The sequence below is a fragment of the Homo sapiens genome, chromosome 19 (assembly GCF_000001405.40).
Source record: "Homo sapiens chromosome 19, GRCh38.p14 Primary Assembly".
NCBI lineage: Eukaryota > Metazoa > Chordata > Mammalia > Primates > Hominidae > Homo > Homo sapiens.
Window position 1 is genome coordinate 9,410,699 of NC_000019.10, and position 24,900 is coordinate 9,435,598.

General features: G+C 44.7%; 1 protein-coding gene across 45 annotated transcripts, besides 1 other annotated feature; it reads right to left on the reverse strand.

Annotated features, from left to right (window-relative positions):
* Positions 1 to 1,730: 1,730 nt before the first annotated feature.
* On the reverse strand, positions 1,731 to 24,875 carry ZNF266 (zinc finger protein 266). 45 transcript variants are annotated; one of them, NM_001370378.1, is made up of 12 exons: positions 24,586 to 24,875; positions 24,410 to 24,495; positions 24,100 to 24,161; positions 23,377 to 23,537; positions 22,970 to 23,085; positions 9,367 to 9,520; positions 8,353 to 8,601; positions 8,068 to 8,197; positions 7,807 to 7,933; positions 7,130 to 7,210; positions 4,956 to 5,044; positions 1,731 to 4,022 (listed from the first exon to the last, which is right to left on the reverse strand). In NM_001370378.1, exons 9-12 carry the CDS (start codon positions 7,838 to 7,840, stop codon positions 2,577 to 2,579), a joined length of 1,650 nt encoding a protein of 549 aa, NP_001357307.1. In that variant the 5' UTR covers positions 7,841 to 7,933; positions 8,068 to 8,197; positions 8,353 to 8,601; positions 9,367 to 9,520; positions 22,970 to 23,085; positions 23,377 to 23,537; positions 24,100 to 24,161; positions 24,410 to 24,495; positions 24,586 to 24,875; the 3' UTR covers positions 1,731 to 2,576. The 45 variants fall into 45 exon arrangements, with proteins under 45 accessions (NP_001357307.1, NP_001357306.1, NP_001357326.1 ...); NM_001370377.1 differs by having other exon boundaries at positions 22,995 to 23,088; NM_001370397.1 differs by having other exon boundaries at positions 22,970 to 23,088.
* Positions 24,666 to 24,795: an enhancer, noted in NCBI's record as "active region_13929". NCBI's record gives its function as "activates an Ori minimal core promoter by ATAC-STARR-seq in GM12878 lymphoblastoid cells {active_cell/tissue: GM12878}" and the evidence as "EXISTENCE:reporter gene assay evidence [ECO:0000049][PMID:35858748]".

Below are 24,900 nucleotides of genomic sequence, written 5' to 3' on the forward strand. Positions count from 1 at the left end.
TTAGTGGAGCCTGCGGTTTTTATGGGCACAGGATGAGGGCGGGGCAGGCCATGAGTGGTTTTGAAAAAGGCAACATTTGAACTGGAAAAGAAGGATGTGAAGTTATCACTTTGGGCCAATCTGAAAAGTTACGTACTGCACAATTCCAACTCTATGACATTCTGAAAAAGGCGAAACTATGGAGACAGTAAAAAGATGAGTGGTTGTCGGGCTGGGGAGAGGGAGGGAGGAATAGTGGGAGGACCGATGATCTGTGGACTTTGGGTGATAATGAAGTGGCAATGCAGGTTCATGAATTCTAACAAATGTATTACTCTGGTGGAGTATGTTGATGATGGTGGAAGCTATGCATATGTAGTGGCCGCAGGAATATAGGATGTCTTTGAACCTTCCACACTATTTTGCTGTGAACCTAAAACTGCTCTGAAACATGGATTTTTTGTTTTGAGACAGCGTCTGACTCTGTCACCCAGGCTAGAGTGCAGTGGCACAATCTCAGCTCACTGCAACCTCCTTCTGGGCTAAAATGATTCTCCTGCCTCAGCCTCCTGGGTAGCAGGGACTATAGGCATAAGCCACCATGCCCAGCTAAGTTTTGTCTTTTTTGTAGAGGCGGGGTTTCACCAGGTTACCCAGGCTGGTCTTGAACTCCTGAGCTCAAGCAATCCACTCACCTCAGCCTCTCAAAGTGCTGAGATTACAGCTCTGAGCCACTGCACCAGGTGAACACGGATATTTTAAAAGAGTAATAAAACATTTTCAATTGGTCAGAGTTTTCCAATCTGAGAAGTCAACATTATTTAGCTGAACTACCACTCTCCAAAACCTCTTACACTAATAGGATTTCTCTCTACTGCAAAACCTTACTTAAGCAATCCCTGAGATAACAGCAAAGGGCTTTCCATGTTTCACAGACTGTGTGGTCTCATTGCAAGTTACTTCCTGCTGGGTTGTGAAGAGATTCTGACAGCTTTCCCATATTTCTTACATTCACATGGCTATGAACTGTGATACAGTAAGATATGAGAAGCAAATGAAGTACTTCCTGCATCCTTTTTATAATCACAGGGTTTTACCCCAGTGTGAATTCTCACAAAGATATTAAGGCTTGAGCAATGAAATAAGGTGACACCATATCCCTGGGATACACAGGTTCTTCCTCCAATGTGAGATTTCATGTTAACATTATGGCATGTGAGATATTTAAAGGTTGCCATACATTCCCCTACATTCCCAGGACATTTGCAGTCTAATTTTATTTTATTTTTTTTGAGACAGAGTCTTGCTTTGTCACCCAGGATGGAGTGTAGGGGTCTTGGCTCACTTGCAGTCTAATTTTAGATATGTAAAATGAGCCTCGTGGAATTAGTAAAAGCTTTCCCACGTGCCTTACAGCAGAAGTGTTCTCTACACTGTGAATTTTTATTTCTCATGTAAGGTATAAACATTTAATGAAATCTCTCCACATTACTAATAATGGAGCCTCAGTCCACTCTAAGTCACTAAATGTTGGGTGAAGTCACATTTATGACTTTCATAGTAAAAGAAACTTTCTCTTCTTGATGGTCTTTGATTTTCACAGGGCCTATCACCACAAGAGTTGGAAGTGAGTATTAAGATCTGATGAGCACTTACAGACTTCTTCACATGTCCTACATTCATAGAACGTCTCTCCTGTGATTGCTTTTGTGTTTACACTAACACTAATGATAGCTAATGAACGGAAAAAATAATCACAAAAAAATTTTATTATGTTTGAAGAAAGCTTAAAAATTTGTGTTGGTCTGCATTCAAAGCCATCCTGGCCTGCGGGTTGGACAAGCTTGATCTAAAGCTTTTCCCAAGTTCCTCACAGTATTAGTTTCCTAGGGTTGCTGTACAAAATAACAGACTGAATGATTTAACCAAGAGAAATTTATTGCCTCACAGTTCTGGAGCCTGGAAGTGCAATATCAAGGTGGAGACAGGGTTGGTTTCCTCTGGAGGCCATAATGAAAGCATCTGTTCCAGGTCTCTGTCCTTGGCTTGTAGATGGCCATCTTCTGGTGGATCCACACAGTCTTCTCCATGTGTATCCTTCCTTCAGTTTCCCTTATAGGGACACCAGTGATGTCAGATTAGGGATCGAACCCAACAACCTCATTTGAAGTTACTCACCTGTTTGAAAACCCTATGTCCAAATACAGTTATAGTGTAAGGAACTAGGACTTAGGGCTTACAAATATGGAGTGGGGCATCATCCAGACCATACCATTTAAATTGCAGGGTTTCTCTCCAATGTGAGTTCACATACACACATTAAGGTTTGTGGGATTCAGAAAGGTATTCCCAGATTCTCTACATTCATACAGTTTCTCTCCAGTGAGATTTCTGATGTGTTTGGTAAGGCTTGAGAATTCAGCAAAGTCATTTCCACATTCCCTGATGCAGGGTCTTCTCCACTGTGAATTCATATGTGTTCATTAAGACCTGAGATACAAAGTTGCTTCCACATTTTTACATTCATAGGGTTTCTCCCCAGTGAGTTTTCATGTCTTCAGAGAGAACAGGGACACCTTTAGGTTTTCCCACATTCCTTATGCTGACAGTCTCTCATCCGCATGCCTTCTTTCATGATTTCGAAAGGAACTGGAAGAACTGAAGGCTTTCCCGCACTCCTTACATTCATAGGGTTTCTCTCCAGTGTGAGTTCGTTCATGTAACTGAAACGAATTGGAGTAACTGAAGGATTTCCCACACTGTTTACATTTGTAGGGTTTTTCTCCAGTGTGGATCCGCATGTGAAGGTTAACACACGTGGGAAACTTAAAAGCTTTGCCACATTCCATACACGTGAATGGTTTTTTGGCGCTGTGGGTCCGCATGTGATTATTAAGACTGGAGGAATGCGTAAATGCTTTACCACATTCCAGGCACTCAAAGGGCTTCTCTCCAGTGTGAATTCTCAAATGTCCACTAAGATTTGAAGAAATAGCAAAGGCTTTCCCACATTTGACACATTCAAAAGGCTTCTCTCCAGTGTGAGTTCTTGTATGTTCACTAAGGCGAGAGGATCTGGCAAAGGCCTTTCCACATTCCTTACATTCATAGGGCCTCTCTCCACTGTGAGTTCGTGCATGCTTAGTAAGGTCTGAGTTCTGAGTGAAGGCTTTCCCACAATCCTTACATTTATAGGGTTTTATTCCAGTGTGAATTCGAAAGTGATCACTGAGGCATGAGGAATTTCTAAAGGATTTTCCACATATCTTACATTCAAAGGGATCCTTTGCAGTGTGAGTTTTTAAATGTTCAGTAAGTTGAGAAGATCTAGTGAAGGCTATCCCACATTCCTTGCATTCATAAGGCTTCTCACCCACATGGATTTTCATATGTTGACTTAAGCAAGAGGAAACAGTGAAGGCTCTCCCACAATCCTTACATTTATAAGGTTTCTCTCCAGTGTGAGTTTTTCTGTGCTGAGTAAGTTGACAAGACCTGGTGAAGGCTTTCCCACACTCCTTACACTCATAGGGATTGTCTCCAGTGTGGGTTCCCATGTGAATATTAAGGTATGCAGAATATCTAAATCCTTTTCCACATTCCTTACATTTGTAGGGTTTTTCTGACCTGTGAGTTTGTATACGCACAGCAAGGTCTGTGGAGTGAATAAAGCCTCTCCCACATTCCTTCCATTCATGGAGACTTTCTCCATTGTGAGTTCTTAAATGTCCCTGAAGGTGTGAATGATTAATGAAGGATTTCCCAGAGTCACTGCAATCAAAAGCTTTCTCTCCTGTGCACGTTCTCTGGCAAACAACATCTGGGTTCAGGCTGAAGGCTTTTCCACACTGACTAAATACAGAACGTTGCTCTCCAGTAGAGGTTTTCTTGTGCAGAGTAAGGAAGTCTACTCCATACAGATAACACTCAAATGTGTTCTCACTATTTTGAGTTCTCACATGTGTCTTAAGGCATGAGTGTTCACTGGAGACATCTCCACATTGCTTAACATCACTGACCTCCCCTCCGTTGTGGCTTCCTATCTGTTGATAAAGGAATGAATGATGATTAAAGGACGGTTCAGATTGATTAACAGATTCCACTCATCTGAAGAGAGGAACACTGTGATGATTATTATCATGTTTACCATTTTCATTACACACATATAAGTAATGCCCTTTTGATTTCTTTCCAGCGGAATGACAAAAAACTCCTGCCAGGCTGTGCCATCTACTCTAATCTCAAATGTCTGTAGAGTTTTATGAAATTGTCTTAAAAACTCACTATCTAGTTACAAATGTGTACTTGAGGGGAACTCTAAAACACCTAAGTGTTGGCTGGGCGCAGTGGCTCACGCCTGTAATCCCAGTGCTTTGGGAGGCCAACGTGGGCAGATCACCTCAGGTCAAGAGTTCAAGACCAGTCTGGCCAACATGGTGAAACCCTGTCTCTACTAAAAGTACAAAAACTAGCCGGGCATGGTGGCACGTGCCTGTACTCCCAGCTACTCAGCAGGGTGAGGCACAAGAATCGCTTGAACCCAGGAGGTGGAGGTTGCAGTGAGCCAAGATCATGCCACTGCATTCCAGCCTGGGTGACAGACCAAGACTCTGTCTAAGAAAAAAACAACAATAAGTGTCAAGCTAGATTTCAAGCATCCCCAGGTCATCGTATTCTGAGTCTCTCTCCAGAGTCATTATCCCTTTTGGGAATGCTACTTATCTCAAAGAGCTCTCATTCTGCTAATTTTCTTTTTCTTTTAATGTAATTAAATTTAGTTTTTAGCGCCAAGATCTTGCTACGTTGACCAGGCTGGTCTAGAACTCCTGGCCTCAAGTGATCCTCCCACTTCAGCCTCCCAAAGTGCTGGGATTACAGGTGTGAGCCACCATTCCCAGCTTTATTCTGATTTTCTATAATGGAATCCCCAATCATCTCTAAATGTGAAAACTAAGACGTATCCTTGTTAATCTTACCATTTGAATCCCACTGGAGGTTGGCTCCCCCAAAACATCCTGCTGAAGGGCTAACTCTTTGGTTTTAAGTTGCACTTTCCATTCTGAAGCTGAAGAGAAAAAGAAATGTAAGGGTTTGGAGACATACAGGGTAGACAGATGGAGCTGAAAATGAGAGGGATCATTTGTACTTGTTTTCTTTTTTTCTTGAGACGGTGTCTCACTCTGTTGCCCAGGCTGGAGTGCAATGGCGTGGTCTCAGCTCACTGCAACCTCTGCCTCTCAGGTTCAAGTGATTCTCCTGCCTCAGCCTCCTGAGTAGCTGGGACTACAGGCACATGCCACAACGCCCAGCTAATTTTTGTATTTTTAGTAGAGACGAGATTTCACCATGTTGGCCAAGCTAGTCTCAAACTCCTGACCTCGTGATCCACACGCCTCAGCCCCTCAAAGTGCTGGGATTACAGGCATTAGCCACCACACCCGGCCCCTGTATTTGTTTTCAAATTAAACACGGTAACAAAAAACAAACACAAAGACAGATTTGAAGATTGTATATCAAAAATTTGGCAATAATAAGGATATAGCGTCAAAATTTTACATAGTTTACTACAAACTGATTCTATGAAAATTATAAACTGATGGTGAACACAAAGAATATTACCATGGAAGGAAAGTTGAGGAATAGAACAAAAAGCACACATCAAAACAAGGAGCTTGTTTTTGTTTTTTGTTTTTTTTTTTTTTTGAGAAAGACTTTCACTCTTGTCACTCAGGCTGGAGTGCAATAGAACAATCTCGGCTCACTGCAACTTCCGCCTCCCAAGTTCAAGCGATTCTCCTGCCTCAGCCTCCCGAGTAGCTGGGATTACAGGCACCTACCACCAAGCCCAGCTAATTTTTGCATTTTTAGTAGAGACAGGGTTTCAGCATGTTGGCCATGCTGGTCTCGAACTCCTGACATCAGGTGATCCTCCCACCTCGGCCTCCCAAAGTTCTGGGATTACAGACGTGAGCCACCGTGCCAGGCCTTTTTTTTTTTTTTTTTTTTTTTTTTGAGACAGAGTCTTGCTCTCTCACCCCAGCTGGAGTTCAGCGGCACGATCTTGGCTCATTGCAACCTTCGGCCCCTGGGTTCAAGCGATTCTCCTGCCTCAGCCTCCCTAGTAGCTGGGACTACAGGAGTGCGCCACCACGCCCAGCTAATAGTTGTATTTTTGTAGCGATGGGGTTTCACCATGTTGGCCAGGCTGGTCTCAAACTCATGACCTCATGTGATCTGCCCGCCTCAGCCTCCCAAAGTGCTGAGATTATAGGCGTGAGCCACCACACCTGGCCCAAAACAGGAACTTTTAAAGAAGAAACCAACGGGTCCTATCACAGAAAAGAATGAGTAGACAAAGCGTAAAAGTATGAGAAGTTGAAGATTTCTTAACTTCTGAGAAAGAAATGGCCTACCTGGGCATGGTGGCTCATGCCTGTAATCCCAGCACTTTGGGAGGCCAAGGCAGGTGGATCACTTGAAGTCAGGAGTTTGGGACCAGCGTGGCCAATGTGGTGAAACCCTCTCTCCACTAATAATACAAAAAATTAACCAGGCGTGGCACACACCTGTAGTCCCGGCTACTCGGGAGGACGAGTACTCAGGAGAATTACCTGAACCCGGGAGGCTGAAGTTGCAGTAAGCCGAGATCGCACCACTGCACTACAGCCTGGGTGACAGTGAAACTGTGTCTCAGAAAAAAATAAAAATAAAAAAAATAATGGCCTCAACACTGTGAGATGAAGCACATCTTAAAAAGTTTCCTCATTATGGCTAAGCGTGGTGGCTCACGCCTGTAATCCCAGCACTTTGGGAGGCCGAGGTGGGCAGATCATGAGATCAGGAGTTTGAGACCACACTGACCAACACGGTCAAACCCCGCCTCTACTAAAAATACAAAAATTAGCCAGGCATGGTGGCGTGAGCCTGTAATCCCAGCTACTCAGGGGGCTGAGGCAGGAGATCAGAAGGCTGAGGCAGGAGAATCGCTTGCACCTGCGAGGCGGAGGTTGCAGTGAGCTGAGACTGTGCCACGGCACTCCAGCCTGGGTGACAGAGTGAGACTCCATCTCAAAAAAAAAAAAAAGTTTCCTCATTATACTTATAAACATACTGAACTTATTGACCAGGGCGGTCCTTTGTGAACACTCACCTTGGAAATCACCTCTCTGCACTGTCCTAGACTCTTCTTGTTCCAGCCAAGAGATCAGACTGGGTTTGAAGAGCTGATATCCTGTGCACAAAGAAAGATACATTACCAGAAGAGGCTCATGCAAGAGATGATAAATCTTTCCACAACTCAGGAGATATAGTTCCAATGGAAGCAGTGAAATTATTTTAAAAGGGCTAAAAATGCAAATATCGTCTGTCTGTGCCCCCAAAAGATTGGTGATCTCTGATCCCTGAAGCCCAAATCCAGGCTGATGTACACACTTACAAAGCACTAAGACTTTTATCCAAATAGGAAGTTAAGTGAAACAAAGAGATCTTCATTCTCATGGGAAACAACTATACATCTCATTCTTCAACATTATAGCACATCAGATTCATGAGAGCTTGTTAAAACACAGATGACAGGGGCCCTGTTGCAGTTTCTCACTGAGTATGTCAAAGGTGGAGACTGAGAACATACATCTCCAACAGTGCTGGTGATGCTCTTCATCTGACACCACATTTTGAGAATCACCAAGTAGATGAAACCCTATTAGGGCAGGGACTATGTCTGTTATTTCCCATTGTGTTCAGAGTTGCTATCTCTGATGTGCAATACAGTAAGTACATAACATAATCTGTTCCATAGTAGGCTACAAGGGATGAGGCCAGTCTTACCTACTGTGGCCAAATTCTTGTAGTTCTCCAGCATCACATCTCTGTAGAGGTTTCTCTGAGTTGGGTCCAGTAAAGTCCATTCTTCTGGGGTGAAGTCCACAGCCAGATCATCAAAAGTCACTGAATCCTAAACCATCACACACATGCTGGCTTGAGCCACAAAACATGTCTACCAGTGTTCACTGCAAAATGCAATACCTACAGAGTCTGAGGGCTCACATTGCCCACCCCAGGAGGTCCTCTCTATCCACACTCACTCACTGTCAGTCCCCTCCAGTGACACGGCTTGAATGGCACTTCTTACACATGATTGTATGTAACACAACCAGACTGGGAGGTCATCTGATTTCCCTCCACTGCAGCACACTCTTGAGCAGATGCTAGATAAACACTGATGAATGGAAAGATTATCTCAAAGGATACTTTCATGTCCCTTACCATGTGTCAGAACACTCAACAAAATAAAAACTATGCAGTTGGGACCATGAGGGAAGACTAATTAATCAATATTGAAATACTGGGATGACATTCAAGGCAAACCCTCACCAATATGACAGGCTCCACTCCTTCCGGGAATTCGACTAGGGACTCAGTCCTTGAAGGAGGCTTTATTTGCTTTAAGAAGCTCTGAAGATAATTCTGTGTAGAAGGAAATGTGTCTACCTGGTGATGCAAGTATGATATTTTGGAGAAGGATATACTTCCTGCATACCTGATAACAATTTGTCAGACAGTCAGCCACCACCCTTTCTACTTCTGTCTTTTCTTGAAGGCAGACTGGGTCCCTGTAAAGACCTCATGGAAAAGAAAGAAGGCATGAGAACCCAGGGCTGACGATAATTCCCACATTCACGTACCCCAAAGTCATTCCATCCTACTGTGAGATTCCTATATACTCCCGCACACTCAAGAAAACACACACATACACACCACCGCTATCAATTCCAGGGCACTACTGCCTCACGTAAAGGCAAAAAAAAGGATAGTCAGCCATGCTGCCCACTGGGAAAAGGGTAACAGTCTTATTTTACAGATAAGGAAAACTTCTCTTCCCTGGAAAGACACAGCACCTCTTCCCAAAGCACACACAGCAGGGGGCTGATGAAGTATTCTGGCTGGGCGTGATGGCTCACACCTGTAATCCTAGCACTTTGGGAGGTCGAGGCAGGCAGATCACTTGAGGTTAGGAGTTCGAGACCATCCTGGCCAACATGGTGAAACTCCATCTCTACTAAAATTACAAAAAATTAGCCAGGTGTGGTGGCACACGCCTGTAATCCCAGCTACTCGGGAGGCTGAGGCAGGAAAATCGCTTGAACCTGGGGGGCAGAGGTGGCAATGAGCTGAGATCATGCCACTGCACTCCAGCCTGAGCAACAGAGCAAGACTCTGTCTCAAAAAAAAAAAAAAAAAAAGGAACAAAGCATTCCCTAGCCCACATCAGCACCTCAGAAATGAAGCTGCAGCGTGAATGATCAGGCACAGGCCACTGGACTCCATACTGTGTGGGGGGGGACACCTAAAGCAGGGTATCTGAAAATGAACAGAAACAGGACTTACCATAGGACAAATCAGTGGCTGCCATCCCACAGGGCTGATGGCTGAATGTGCTTCAAAGCACCTTTCCTTTACTCCAAGGATCACTCCAGGACAGCTTAGGAATCTACACGGACAGAGGTAACCTCCATTCTCTTTATCCAGGGTTAACGGTATCCTGTTTGTATAAATCATTAATCAACAAGCATTACTTATCAGTCATCAGACATCATTAGCACTCTCTCTGCAGAGCATATAGAGGAAAAGACACTGAAAACGGTGTACACTACAAATAGTAGGAAGACCAACTTCCACTACTGAGGAACAGTGTGTGTCAGAAGTCACACTAGCAGCTTTATATACTCGCTTAATTATCATAACCACCCTTTACAGTAGATACCAATGACCCCTATTTGATAAAGAAAAAATCAGGCCGGGGGCGGTGGCTCACGCCTGTAATCCCAGCACTTTGGGAAACCAAGGCAGGTGTGTCAGTTGAGGTCAGGAGTTCAAGACCAGCCTGGGCAATGTGGTGAAACCCCATCTCTACTGAAAACACAAAAATTAGCTGGGCATGGTAGTGCATGCCTATAAATCCCAGCTACTGAGGAGGCTGAGGCAGGAGAATCGCTTGAACCTGAGAGACAGAGGTTGCAGTGAGCCGAGATCACACCACGGCACTCCAGCCTGGCAACAGAGTGAAACTCTCTCTCAAAAGGAAAAAAAAAAAAAGAAAAAGAAAAAAAAGAAAACCTACAATCAGACAACACTTGGATTTGGTCCAGAATCATCCAGTTTGGAAGTTGTGAACCAGGACTTGAACACAGGCAATTTTGTCCCTGACACCCAATCTGTGGCTGCTCTTACTTTCCCACATGACCAGCGTTAGTCTAAACCTGCACAGTACAACACCATGGTCACTACCCACATGTGTTATTGAACACCCACTCCATATAAACCGAGTATGACCCAACAACAGAATGTATTTTAATTTAATAAAATTTATACAATTAAAATAAAATTTAATAAAAATTAATCACAATCTTTAATAAATCAAACACAGAACAACAGTGCAAATGCTGATTGACAGAATGGAATCTGAACGATGAAAATCACTGAAAACTGAACAGTTCATTATCCATGAACCAGATACACCCCCACAAGGACGCTACAGCCTTTATTCTATGAATGAGAAGGCTGAAACTCTGAGGTCACACTGGGTTACAGAAACCCCATGTCTAGACTCCTGGTGTAGATTGTACCCACTACCATGGGTTTCAAACTGGGGATCCTTAGGCTGAAGAGGGCCACAAATGTGTTTAATTTGGTGAAATCTAAACCAATTATGTTATTTTAAACTTGAAATGTAATTAATGTACAATTAAAAGTACAGATCTTAGGTATTCAGTGGATGAATTTTGACAATCGCATACACTTGCATAATCAAAAGCCTAAACAAGATATAAAACATGTTCGTCTCCCCATGAAAACCTTCTTGCCCCTTCCAGTCTATCTTTTCACTCTCAACTCCAGATAAGCACCCTGTGATTTCCTTCATTTAGCAGACACAACACTGGACAGGTAAATTAGGCAGTGTGCTCATCTCTCGCAAATGTACATCCTATCTTCATTTTTCTCTACTATTTAAATAACATGAGATAAAAATTCTAAAATCTCCCACTGCAACTGTGGACTTGTCTATTTCTTCTTGTGTATCTGTAATGTATACTCCTTTATACATCTTGTAACAACATTACTGGGTAGATAGATACACACATTGAACTTTCCTATTTTTGGAGCAACAAAACCTTTCTTTTTTTTTTTCTTTTGAGACGGAGGCTCGCTCTGTCACCCAGGCTGGAGTGCAGTGGCGCGATCTCGGCTCACTGCAAGCTCCGCCTCCAGGTTCACGCCATTCTCCTGCCTCAGCCTCCCGAGTAGCTGGGACTATAGGCACCCGCCACCACACCCGGCTAATTTTTTTGTATTTTTAGTAGACACGGGGTTTCACCCTGTCAGCCAGGATGGTCTCGATCTCCTGACTTTGTGATCTGCCCGCCTCGGCCTCCCAAAGTGCTGGATTACAGGCGTGAGCCACTGCACCTGGCCACAACAAAACCTTTTTTTTATCATAAGGAACTCTGCGAGTCTCTAGGAATGTTCTTGGATGATGCTGGGTGACACTGCAACTTGCTTTTCTTTGTGGAGTCTCTGTATCTCATGGGCAGCCTTAGGTATCTTTGGGTGCCAATGTTCCCCTTGACCTGGCATGGAGCCTAAAGGCACCCAGTGATGGCTGGACAGACAACTGAGATCCTTCTCAACACTGTTAAAGTACACCCAGACTACAGCCCCATCACAATTCATAACACAATATGCATCTGAGTTCTGAGGAAATGCATTGAACTACTCAAAGAATGCAAGGGTGACAGGAATACTGTCTCTTTCTATGCACTTAGCCACCACCCATGGCCTGTCTGCATACCAAAGACTGGTTTCCCCTGGCCACTTAATGTGGATATTTAGTGCTCTCAGTCTTGTATCCTTACTGGCACCCCAACTTCCTCTGCTCATGAGCACAATAGCCAGGGTTGCCTGCATTCCAGAGGGCTGCTTCCTGCTTTCCCCGAGTCCAATGACTAGCTCTAGTACCCGCTAAAAGTGCAGAGCAGAAGCACTACAGCCCCGCTAAAGGCTGACCCTGAAGGGGGCAGTACTAAAGGAAAATCTTCCGAGTGGCAGAACTTCAGGCAGTGTATTGGCCTGCTTCTGGGTCTGGAGTAAGAGTTGACAAGATGCATGCATACACATACACAGATTCATCAAAAGTTGCCGATGGCTTGGCTGGATGGTCAAAAATGTGGAATGAACCAGAGTGGTAACAAGGAAACCTAGGAAAAGGTATATGGATGGACGTCTCTGAAAGGAAAGATTGTGTCCCACGTGAATGCCTGCCGTGATCCACTAGAAATAGAGCAGACAAAATCACGTGCTCTAAAGATACCTGTTACTTTACCTAGCTGCACCTCAGTGCTTGCTCAATGGGCCCATTAAAAAATGTTCATGACAGCAGGGATAAAGGCTATGTGTGGGCTCAGCAATAAGGACTTCCCCTTACCAAGTCTGACCCAGCTAACATTACTGCTGGGCCTAATCTCCTGAAAGCAGAAATCAACACTGAGCATCCAATACAGCACCATTCCTTAGAGGAGACCAGCCAGCCATGCTGTAATGGGCCCTCTTCTATCAGGAAATTGTCAAAGACTCATCCCCACCAGAACAGACTCACGTTCCGGTGTGGATCTGCCTTTCGACTAGTTAGGCTTCTGCTGGCACCACCACCCACGGAATCACAACATGCTTTATCAGTAGTCATGGCCTCCACACAACAGAGTTTCTAAACAAGCAAAGCATTTCACTGCAGAGGAAGTGCAACAATGGAAGCATGTCCTTGAAATCAACTGGTTCCATCACACACCCCATCACTCAGAAGCAGTGGATCTACATGAAAAGTGGAATCGCATACTGAAAACTCAGTTATAGGGCCAAATGGGGGACAACCCTTAGAAAGGAATTCTGACTCACAGGTCAAGGTGTACGCTTTGAGTCATAAAGCCTTCCATGGTACTGTCTCCCCAGAGTCAGAATACATGGGTCCAAGAATTGATGAGTAGGCCAGGCGCGGTGGCTCATGCCTGGAATCCCAGCACTTTGGGAGGCCGAGGCAGGTGGATCGTTTCAGGTCAGGAGTTCGTGACCAGCCCGGCCAACATGGTGAAACCCCGTCTCTACTAAAAACACGAAAAATTAGCTGGGCGTGGTGACACATGCCTGTAATCCTAGCTACTTGGAAAGCTGAGGCAGGAGAATGGCTTGAACCCGGGAGGTGGAGGTTGCAGTGAGCCGAGATTGTGCCACTGCACTCCAGCCTGGGCGACAGAGCAAGACTCCATCTCAAAACAAAACAAAAAAATAGAATTGATGGGTGAAGGTGGAATTAACTCCACTGACAGAAGTTTGCTTTTATTCCCAGCAACTCAGAGCACTGCTGGTCTGGAGATCTTCTTAGACCCTAGAGGAAAATGCCCCCCCCAGGGGGCACAGCTATGGTTCTAATGCATTGGAACAGGAGACTGCCACTTGGCCCTTTTGGGCTTCATATACCACTAAACCAAGAGGCAAAAAAAAAAAAAAAAAAAAAGAAAAAAGTTAATCTACTGGCTGGAGTGGTTAATCCCAATTATCAAAGGGAAACTGTGGCACTACTAGACAATTGAGGCAAGGAGGATGAAGTGATGAGGTGTAGAACCTCCGAGTACTTCTATACTCCATAGAAAAGGTTAATGGAAAACCACAACTGAACGAAAGCAGGACAACAGAGGATTCGGACTCTGGGCGAACGAAGATTTGTATTGCTCCTCCCTGGTACAAAACCCGGAGCAGCTGAGGTTCAAGTGGAGGGCAGGGAAAATATGGAATTAGTCACTGAAGAAGTAAACCATGGACATCAACTACAACCTCAAGAGCAGTGACAGAAACAAGAAATGTAGTTTTGCATGTTTTCTCTCTGCTTGTTATACGTATGTGTGTTTATATCCATGTGTTTATTTATTTAAATGAACCATTTACTTCTATCTTTTTCCCACTTTTATTTTATATACACATTATTAGAGGTTACATTTATAATTTTGTCTTTAAGAAACAGAATAGTTAGAATGGGACTAAATTTGAGGAGTAATTGACATGGCGTGCCATGGGAATACAAAGGACTGTTTGAACTGCGCATCTGCTCCTTTGGGGGTGGGTGAGGACTTCTTCCCTCATATCTTCTTAGGTAGGAATATAGACTTGTTTAATTATTCCAAAGAAATTCCTATGTGTGTAGGAGAGTGCATATGGATGGTAAAGAACCAAAAGTGAAATATGCCAGTTAGCTGTTTATTTATCTCAGCTCCAATACCCCCATCGTCTTTGTCTTAGTTAAAACTTCCCCTGCCTGTGTAGCTGTTTGTTATACAGCCTGCTTGTTCCTCACCTCACTGGCCCCAAATCCAACACATCTCACAGCTGCTGACTACAGTGAAACTTAGTGGCCAACACCAGAGTCATATAAATAAGAACTTTCCTTTGCGCAACCAATCCACAACCCCCAAAGGAAGTCCTGAGGGATAACGTCCATGCACCTTAATAACGCAAGGCCCAACAGGTCCTCTCTCATTCCTATCCCACAGGTTGAACACCCGGCTGTCTCTGGACTTCCATCAGCCCCCGAGAGCAGCCTCCCATCCTGGGGATCTGTGAGTAGGAGGATGCTTCTGACATTTCATGTGTTTTGTTGTGCTGCCTCCTCTACATCTTGCCCGCCCAACACACTGGAATGTAACTCTCCTCCCGGTCTGGGTAGGGCTAGAATTTGCAGCCACTCTCCAGAGAGAGAGAGACCCCCTAGACCAAAACAGAGGAAAATATATTCAGTGTGGTGAACAGGGTGTGTGGTCACAACCTGAGGGACACAAGACCAGGCCTTCAGATTGCTCTTGGCCTGTTTACTACCTGGCCCACTCACATGGCTGATGCCATATGGGAGGGCTCCACAGCCTGCTGGGGTACCTCTCTGCTGCTGTGCATTGCTGCCTGTTGTCTCTGTGAAGCACTGCCAATACTCCCATCCCTAAATTGGGTGGGTCCTCCATAGTCCAAGCGCTCCCTAGGACTCACCAACTGCTAGCCTTAAGAGGGCAAGAGGGGCACGACAGTCACTATCCAAGACTGCTGTCACTTCCCCAAATAGGAACTGCTGGGCTGGAGGAAGCCAACTGTATTCCCAAGGCCTCACTCTGGCATAACGGGCTTGCTACTGAGAGGCAGAAGGGGTAAGGCAGGCGCTGGGCCAATCAAAGGGTTAGCGGAGTGCAAGAGGAAGACCGGCATTCTGACTGCCCACTGTATGGATAAGCAGTACAGACGAGGCCACCAGACTTCCCACTCTGACAACAGTAGCAACCCCTTCACTGGGGAGATGACGGCACCTCGCTGGCAAGGTTGCTGTTGGGGTCTGCTATCCCCAGGACACTGCCTTCCATTGCATCTGTTGCTCTACGCCCCCACCCTGACGAGGTCAACTGGGCACCCTAGAGAGAAAGGCGGCTGCCTACAAAGGGGTCAGATGGGAAGCACAAATGGAGGCCAGAGGACCCGGGGCCACTCGGGACCACCGGGAGCTTGTCAGGTAAACAAAGGAAAAAATATTTTAGCCACCTGGAGATACAAGCCATTCTGAAGATTTTACTTAGAAGAAAAAAATAGAGGGAAAGAAACTGATTGTCTTGAGGTCTGGAGTTCCCAGTCCTCTGTTGCCTAGAAGCACTGGGCGCCTTACCCCTCCTTCTTTTCCTCTTATCAACCAGAGACAGAAATTAAGAACCCTTCAGGCAGTTAAAAGTCTAAGACCAAAAAAAAAGGAAAAAAAGCCTCGAGATTTAGGAGGTTACAAGTTCAAGAAAAAAAAAAAGAGGAACTTTTTGAACTTTAAGTACTAAACAAATGCCAGGTCTAACAAACATAATCCCGCTGGCCCTAGATTACTTAATGATTTAAACACAGACCATGAGACATGGGGAAAAAAATAAAAGGTAACTAGACTTTAACTAACATTTGGTAAAATGTACCAATTAACAAAACTGCATAGGCCTACTCAATCTGGGGCTCAAATTACACTTATACCTGGGGATCCCACTAAATTCAAACATTGTGCTCCCTAAAATCTTAAAAGGGTAACTAAATACAGGAGAAAAAAAATAGGTACGCCTCGCTTTAACTGTAGCCTTGCTTAAATCTCCCATTGTCATAGTACCCATGGCCCTAAAATATTCCATATTAGGTATAAATATGCTAACATAATAAATAACAAATTAAAATTAAAGTGAGACTTTGACACTTACAAATTGGCTTGATAAAATGGGACCCCATGGATAATTAGTTGAAATATTTCACATGGCCCAATGTAAGTTACAACAGGGCCTCAAGGATGAAAACTTCTATAAAACCTAATTAATGAAGGGGTGATTATCCCTACTGCTTCTCTATTTGACAGCCCAATTGTGCCTGCTCTTGAATCTGAAAAAGAAAATAAAGGGCACCTCATGCTGGATTACTACAGCCTTCATACTGTGGTCCCATCCATCAAGGTGCCCACACCCAATATTATTAAAACTCCTGATTTTATTCAATAAACAACCAATAACTATTGTGCTTTTAATTATAAATTTGACCAACATGTTTGTTTGTTTTTTTTTCTGAGATTGAGTCTTGCTCTGTCACCCAGGCTAGAATGCAGTGGCACAATCTCGGTTCACTGCAACCTCCGCCACCCAGGGTTCAAGGGATTCTATTGCCTCAGCCTCCCGAGTAGCTGGGATTACAGGTGTGCGTCACCATGCCCAGCTAATATATATATATATATTTTAAGTAGAGACAGGGTTTCAGCATGTTAGCCAGGCTGGTCTTGAACTCCTGACCTCAAGTGATCTGCCCACCTCGGCCTCCCAAAGTGCTGGGATTACAGGTGTGAGCCACCACACCCGGCCTGGACAACATGCCCTGTTCAGTGCCTATTTCAACAGCCTCTCAGCTGCAGCTTGCCTCTCCCTCCAATGGGACACAACACACCTTTTCCAGGCTACCCAACAGATCTGTCATCACATACGATCTTTGCAAACGAGATCTTAACAACATCCACCTTCTCCAGGAACACAGGTATGCACCGCACCGATAACAGCCTTCCCCAAGGAAACTCTTGACATGTCATTAAGGGGAAGTAATTCCAGTATCTTTTAGTAATTTTTGGGTTCTGGTGGCAACATATGCCTGATTTACAAATTATAATTTAAATTAAAATCAACAAGCACTCCTATTAATGCCTCGAAGAAAAAAAAAAGAAAACGGGGGGAAAAATCAACTTCCTAAAAGGACTCCCTTCATGCTAGAGACTGGCAACTTTTTAAATGCCTGCTGGAGTCTCTAGACCACTTACGATGGTCATTAGCTGCCCCAGGCCGTCTAGGAGAGACTGCCCCTCCTGACTTCCTGTTATTCACCAGTAAAACAAGTGACTGGCCATCTACTGGGCTCTCCTGGAAACAGAGGATCTCACAGACCTGAGCCTGTGATCCTCCTATGCAGCTGCCCACTGTGCTCTAGGTCAGGGAAACAACCCCCCATAAGCTCTGCCTGGCCACTGAGGCCTCCTTAGGCCACGATGAAGCCAATCTCAGGCCCTTGGGTCTAATCCACCCGCAGAAGGCAGTGGCTTCCCCTGTTCTCAGTCCCTTGCCTGATGCCAGCGTGCTGAAGGTGGTCACTCCTCCCTCCCACAGGTCCCCTGACTACCTGGAAAGCCCCTGGGATTAACTAAGTGAACACTAATGGGAGTTCATAGACTGTGCAAAGGCCACTGCTGACCATTATAAGTGATGGGGCTCAGTGGAATGCTGCTGCCTTCCATCCCTTAGCCAGGATGTCCCTAATAAAGGACAGGACCCAAGAAACAACGTGCCTGGCCAAACTTCAGGCAGCTGTCTTAGCGCTGGATGCCCAGGTCAACAAACCGACCCACCTTCTTCATGGTTACAATAAACTATTGGGTCATTACCTAAAAACTGTCCCTTCCAGGGTGGGAAAAAAAAAAAAAAAAACCCTGGGAATCTCTTGTCTGACAGATACCCAAAATATAAAGCAAAATCCCATACCTCTCCAAACACTAAAGGCACAATACGAGGCCTTGCCAGGACACTACTTATTCCCTTCAGAGTTACAGACATTATTAGTAACCTACATATATATTTCACTTCTTTTTTGTCAATTTAATTTTTTTTTTAAGAGGCAGGGTCTCGCTATGTTGCCCAGGCTGGTCTCAAACTCCTGGGCTCAAGCAATCCTCCCACTTCGGCCTCCCAAACTCCTGGGATTACAGGGGCGAGCCACTGTGCCCAACCCATGTTTCATTTCTTAAAATACATAATGCTAGCGCCTCGAAAAATATATTCAATAGAACTTTCATTTCCCTAATAGGTCTCAGATAACTGGTTTCACTGAAAGACAGAAAAATGTCCTCAAATAACTACTTTTCAAATTCCAGTCCAAAAAACAAACTCCTGAAATTCTCTATCATGCTCTAGGGCTTAACTTATTTTCAATCTTGCCCCCATCCCACAAACACTGAAGGCCAAATCGAGGGTGCACAGTCGCCTGGGACTTACTAACATTAGATTGTCCCAGAGGCCCGGCAGCTGCTCATCTGATAGGGGACCCACCTGAACCTAAACTTCCACCAAAAGACAGAAACAAAAACATGTTGTCAGGTACAGCTACATATCATTCTGTTAACGGTTCGTCTTACTAGATGCTTTGTTGGTTTACAACCTAGAGGGCCACATCTACTTCAATGGGTATCCACTTTATACCCCAGTGACATCCTAGACGACCTTGTCCTAGCCCAAAATATCACCGCTGGAAACAACATTGCCTCCAGCAACACAGCCCTGACCCAAGACTCTGATGGTGGAGATGACTCCACCATTACACTAAAACCTCCACACAGTGACATCCGTGGACTGCCTCTCCTAAAACACAAATGGACACAGAACATTTTTTTCTTTCTGAACTGTCTGCTTAGCCCCTGATCCTGGTAGCGTACTTGCATTCTGCTCAAATGTGCACACCCACATACCCAAGCCTGAAGGAAAATCTGGTAGGAGTTACTAAAATTAATGGAGATTACTGTTTTCCCCAAGAGGCACCTGCCTCATGTCGGTAAACTCCTTAACCCCAGGGAGGGGACCACCTACTCCATGATGCCTTCTAATGAAGAAGGAATTCATGAATTTTACAAGTACAATCAAAGACGAGCAAAAATTTTTACTTTTTCCTGCAAAAGCTAAGTGTAGCGTAGCCCCTCCTCCTACCCCACCCCCCCACCCAGTAGCCTAAGAGAGAATACTAACTGCCTGTTTTTCCTTCTGTGCTCAGCCAGCCTTATCTGTACTTGCTAGTTTCACACTCCTTGAGGCTCAGTGAGTTCCTGCTTCACCTCCCTAGCGCAGCTGCAAAGTTACAAGGTTAATACAGAAACATGGTTTCCCAGGGATGTGGAACATGTAGTATAGATAAATGTAAAAGACTGATCAACTGCCTTCGTTCTCGCTTCTGTAAGTACGCTTCCTGTATCAGTAGCTCCCGGCCAGAGTGCTTTAAAGGTGGCTGCTTTCTTTGTCCAGGGCTCAGACTTTCCTGGATGCCAGTCCTCCTGAGCCAGGTGATCACCTTTTAAAGACCTTTCCTGAACTCACTCTGTTCAGTCTCTCCCATCGTTGATCGTCCCGCAACACTACTACCCTTCTCACTTTCTATCTTGACCTCCAGCCTTGCCTATCCAACCACACCACTCTTGCCCCTTGGTTACACACAATACCACTAACCTTTACATATGCTTTACTAAATCATCAGCTCATACCCTCCAACATAACTGCCCTACATCTATTTTTAGGCCTGACATAAGTTATTTGGAACCCAGTCAGACCCCATCACCTTTGGCTTACTTAAAACTTTCCCCTCCCTGTGTGCTGTTTGTGACATAGCCTACTTGTTCCTCACCTCACTGACCCCAAACCCAACACACCCCACAGCTGCTGACCATAATGAAACCTACTGGCCAACATCAGTCATGTAAATCAGTTCTCCCCACTGCTCAGGTCTACCTAATCCACAACCACGCTGGGAAAGCCTGAGGGATAAGGCCCATGGACCGTAACAAAGGCACAGTCCCACAGGTCCTCTCTGTCTCATTCCCCACCCACTGGTTAGCACCCGGCTGTCTCCTGAGTTGCTGTCAGGACCTCAAGGGCAACCCTCTTCTCGCGGATCTGTAAGGAATAAAATGCTTCTGCTACTTGATGTGTTTTGTTGTGTTGCCTTTTCTGTACCTAACCCACCCAACACACCAGAACACCTCTCCTCTTGGTCGGGACAGAGCTAGAATTTACAGCCACTCTCCAGAGACAGAAGCCTCAGGACCTAATTAGAGGAACATACTAAAAGGGGACATGGGATGGACACTGCAAAAGGGAGCGTTGCCTGCTGGATACAATTGCGACACGGTGGTCAGCAGTGTGGGTGTGAGGGCATTGGAGGGTGCTCTGTCCACGCCATATGCCCATAACACAGTCCTTAGGATACCACAAAACCCTGGCCCAGTCACCACCACCCTGTGGCCCTCCTAATATGGACGCCACATGCTCAAAGGACTCCCACTAGCAGAGGCACCCTCTGCACATGTGCCGACTGGCTTGATGGCTTGTGTCCCTCATGACACAGACAATGCGCATGCCAGGATGCATGCTGCTGCATGACCTGTACCCCAAAGGTTTGTTCCCAAAGGCCTCCGAACGTGAACACTGAAGTCCCAGGCCTTGCAAACAAAGTGGCATCCAAATTTCCTGTGCATAGCTGCCCATCACCATCAGTGTGAGTGTGCCCCAGAGGTGTGTTTGTCACAGCACTTCCAGGGCAGACACGAACCAGTCCAAGCCTCATAGCTACAGTGGTGTCCTGACTCCCCCTACAGGCTGATCCACCCATTGCAGCTGGCCTTTGCCTTGAAACACTGCTTCAATCTTCCCTAAGGACTATGACTAACTCCCGCCTGAGTAACCCAGCAAACTTCACCATCCAGTGGGCTACAGCCACACTGTGGCCAAATACTGTAATATGACCCCAGAGATCCCCACCTGCTGGCATTCATACCCCTGGATAACACCCTCCTGTTGAGCGCACGCACGACCTTTGACCAGTTTCTAACAGAAGAATAAGCAAAAATGAAGAGAATGCAGATGTAATTGAGGTCTCAAGTCAGTTGGGTTTTGTTTTGTTTTGTTTTTAGACAGGGTCTCACTCTGGTTGCCCAGGATGGAGTGCAGTAGCGCAATCTCAGCTCACTGCAGCCTTCACCTCCCTGGTTCAAGTGATTCTCCTGCCTCAGTCTCTCAAGTGGCTGGGATTACAGGCACCCACCACCATGCCCGGCTAATTTTTGTATTTTTTTTAATAGAGTCAGGGTTTCACCATGTTGGCCAGGCTGGCCTTCAACTCCTGACCTGAAGTGATCCACCCACCTTGGCCTCCCAAAGTGTTGGGATTACAGGCGTGAGCCACTGCACCTGGCTTACTTTTATCTTGATACACATAGTGTATACATTACTGTTGCTGTAGGGCATGTATGTGTATAAACCTAGTATGTACTGCCAACAGTTTTTGAAATTGGTTTGCCAATACACTCTCCAAAAAGCAGTATATGCACATCCTCAGCAACTTTATATCAGAATCCCCATCAATGATTTCACTACATGCGGCTAGTTCACTGGAACCCCTAAGTGCCAAACAGAGAAAATGTATAGAATTTAAGTCTTCACTTAAAGTCATCAGCAGGTTCTTGGAAACTGAGACTTTAAGCGAAATGACATACAACAAAGCGAATTTTTTCACATGCTAATTAATATAAGCGAGTTAAGCTCCTACAGCATATTTCTGGTCACAAAAACATCACTAAACTTCTAAATAAAGACCCCAAACACTTCTAATATTAAATATTGAAATAAATGTGAAATATATATACATTTAAGAAAGACTAATAAAAATAGGCTATTTATCCAATTTTTGATGAATTGGTATGTGATGGCAGTTAACAGTGGTGGGTTAAAACAAATAAATGCTTCCAAAGCAAAAACTCTAAGGACCACCTCCTACCACCAAGAAGCTCAAAAACAATAACAAATGGGGCCAGCTTGCTAAGTGGTACCATTTACTGTTGTACAGTTGTATCATTATCAAATGTTTTAGGAATTTTTATTTTACAATAGTTTGTATTCATTCATTCATTCTCCAATCCACCTATTCCAGTTCCAGAATGAAAATGGCCAGAGCCCATCCTAACAGCTCAGGGCACACACACACATAGTGGGACAATTTAGACACACCAATTAAGCTAACATGTGCATCTTTGGCATGTGGGAAGAAACCAGAGTACCCAGAGAAAACCCATGCAGACATGGGAAGAACGTGCAGAATCTACAGAGTGGCCCTACTGGAATTTGATTTTTTTTCCGTCATCGATGTTATAATTAACAGACATTATTCTAAGATCTGTTGTATTTCCAGGCCATGTGGCCCCTTCACAGCTTTTTGGCAGCCCACATTGGCAGGTGAGTTTTCTGGTCATTTACTTACATGGATTGTATCAAGCCAACCCCCTAGGTGTATGAGTGTCTATAAGGAGTCACGCAGAGTGCTTACTCTGGACATTCCTTCAGGGAAACGAAGGACTAATTTAGGTAGGAGAAGGAACCCAAAAGTGAATTGAAAAAAACAACGAGAGAAGTTTTGTCTGTTTATGAATATACATATTTCCTAAGACTAATAATTAACATCAGTGAATTTTCATGGAGAGCTTATTTTTCAGTGATCAAGCACTGATTCTCATTAATCCCTTGAATTAATTTCTTATTCATGTAATTAAAACACATTCATGCTTCTCCTATTTTCCCTTGATTTACATCATTTGTCAGATATCACTTACTTTGGCCAGGCACAGTGGCTTATACCTGTAATCCCAGCATTTTGGGAGGCCGAGGTGGGTGGATCACTTGAGGTCAGGAGTCTGAGACCAGACTGGCCAACATGCTGAAACCATCTCTACTAAAAAAAAAAAAAATACAAAAATACAAAAATTAGCCAGGCATGGTGGCGCACACTTGTAATCCCAGCTACTAGGGTGGCTGAGGCAGGAGGATGGCTTGAAAACCCAAGAGGTGGAGGTTACAGTGTTTCAGTGAGCCGAGATCCTGCCACTGCACTGGAGCCTGGCAACAGCGAAACTCTGTCTCCCAAAAGATATCACTTACTATTTCCTGTCATACATTTAAGATTAAATTATCCCACCACATTGTTTCCCCAACCAAAGAAAGAATACTGACTCTGTCAAACCTGGGAGTAATCTTTGATGCACTCCTCTCTCTCACCATAGAAGTGGAGTCAGCCAATTCACAGAATGCTTTGCCCAGCTCTTATTTCCTTCCCCTTCAGTATGGCTAAATCATACCATATTTTTGGTCTCAGCTTGCATATCACTCTTTTCTTAGCATTGCCTATTCCAAAGAAAAATAGAGAAAATAATTCTGTCCTCTACTTTACTTACAGACCTTCATCAATTTGTAATACACTTATTTGCTTGGTTACATGACAGCCTCCTCCACTAGTTTACAACCTCCCTAAGAACAGCCCTAGGCTGAATTTTTTTACTATGCCTTAATTAACCATTCAGACACTCATCCATTTACAGGATACACCAATAAATGAAGGATACATTTAAACACGGCACAGAATACAATCAGAACTACCAAAATGTATAACTTTCTGAAAGAACGAGTGACTGCGCAAAAAGACAATATAACGGATAAACAGTGTCTGCTAGTTTTAAAGAGACTAAAAGACATGAAACTTGGATACGTAATAGATCCCAAAACAATCAAAACCATATATTGGAACAAAGTGGAGAACTGTACCTTTTTACACAGGGTACATATTAACAACATTTTAAATTTTCTGGGGTAATAGTATTATGGTTTTAAAAGGACATGTCTTTATCCACAGGACACGTATTACCAAGCATTTAAACCTTAAGTGTCACGCCTGCAATGTTCAACTTACTTCAAAGCCTCCATTCCTTCTTCCTAAAAGCCCGTTTTGAAGCTCTGTGGGGAGGTACAGGCCTAGGAAGTTCAGATAAAAAGAATAGCTGAGTATTCTTGCTTTTCTTCAGTAGAAAGACTTCTGGTCTACAAACGTTTATATTCACATAGAGAAATAACCACACCCCAGATACCTAAAAAATAGCTTTATGTTTCTACCTGAATGTAGAGTGTCAAAAGTAAATACAGGATGCGCAAAGAGAAAAACAAATTCTCAGATAAAACAGGAGGAAGAAGCCCCCGAAACCAACTTTCACCCCAGTACTCACCGCGACGAGCTGGACTCGCCAGGTACGGGAGATTGGGGGGATGAAGGACCAGTCAACCTGATTCGAACGACGAAAACTCGTTGTTTCTGGAAAAAAAAAAGTCACAAAGAATTGCTTTGGAAGAGTTTGAAGCGGCAATCACCGTGTTTGCAAAAATCGTGAGGAAGCGCCCTTACGACAGATCCCGAAACGGCTCCTGGCCCAGGGCCGTCGCAGTGACAACTCGAGTGGCTTTTTGAACCTGGCGGCGCCAGGAGGACCCGCGCGGCCCCGGCGGACGCGAGCGGAGCAGGCAAGGTCTCTCTAAGGAGGCCCCTCGGCGGCCTGGGGCAAACCGGTACTTTCGCCACCCCTTCCACCGCTGGCTCCCACCCGTCATCCGACCTCGCCAAAGCTGTATTAAGCCCAAACGCCACCAGGAAGAAAACGGGTTTGGCGGCGCGGAGAAAGCGCCGGAAAACACAGCAGCGCTCCGTGACGTCACTTCCGCC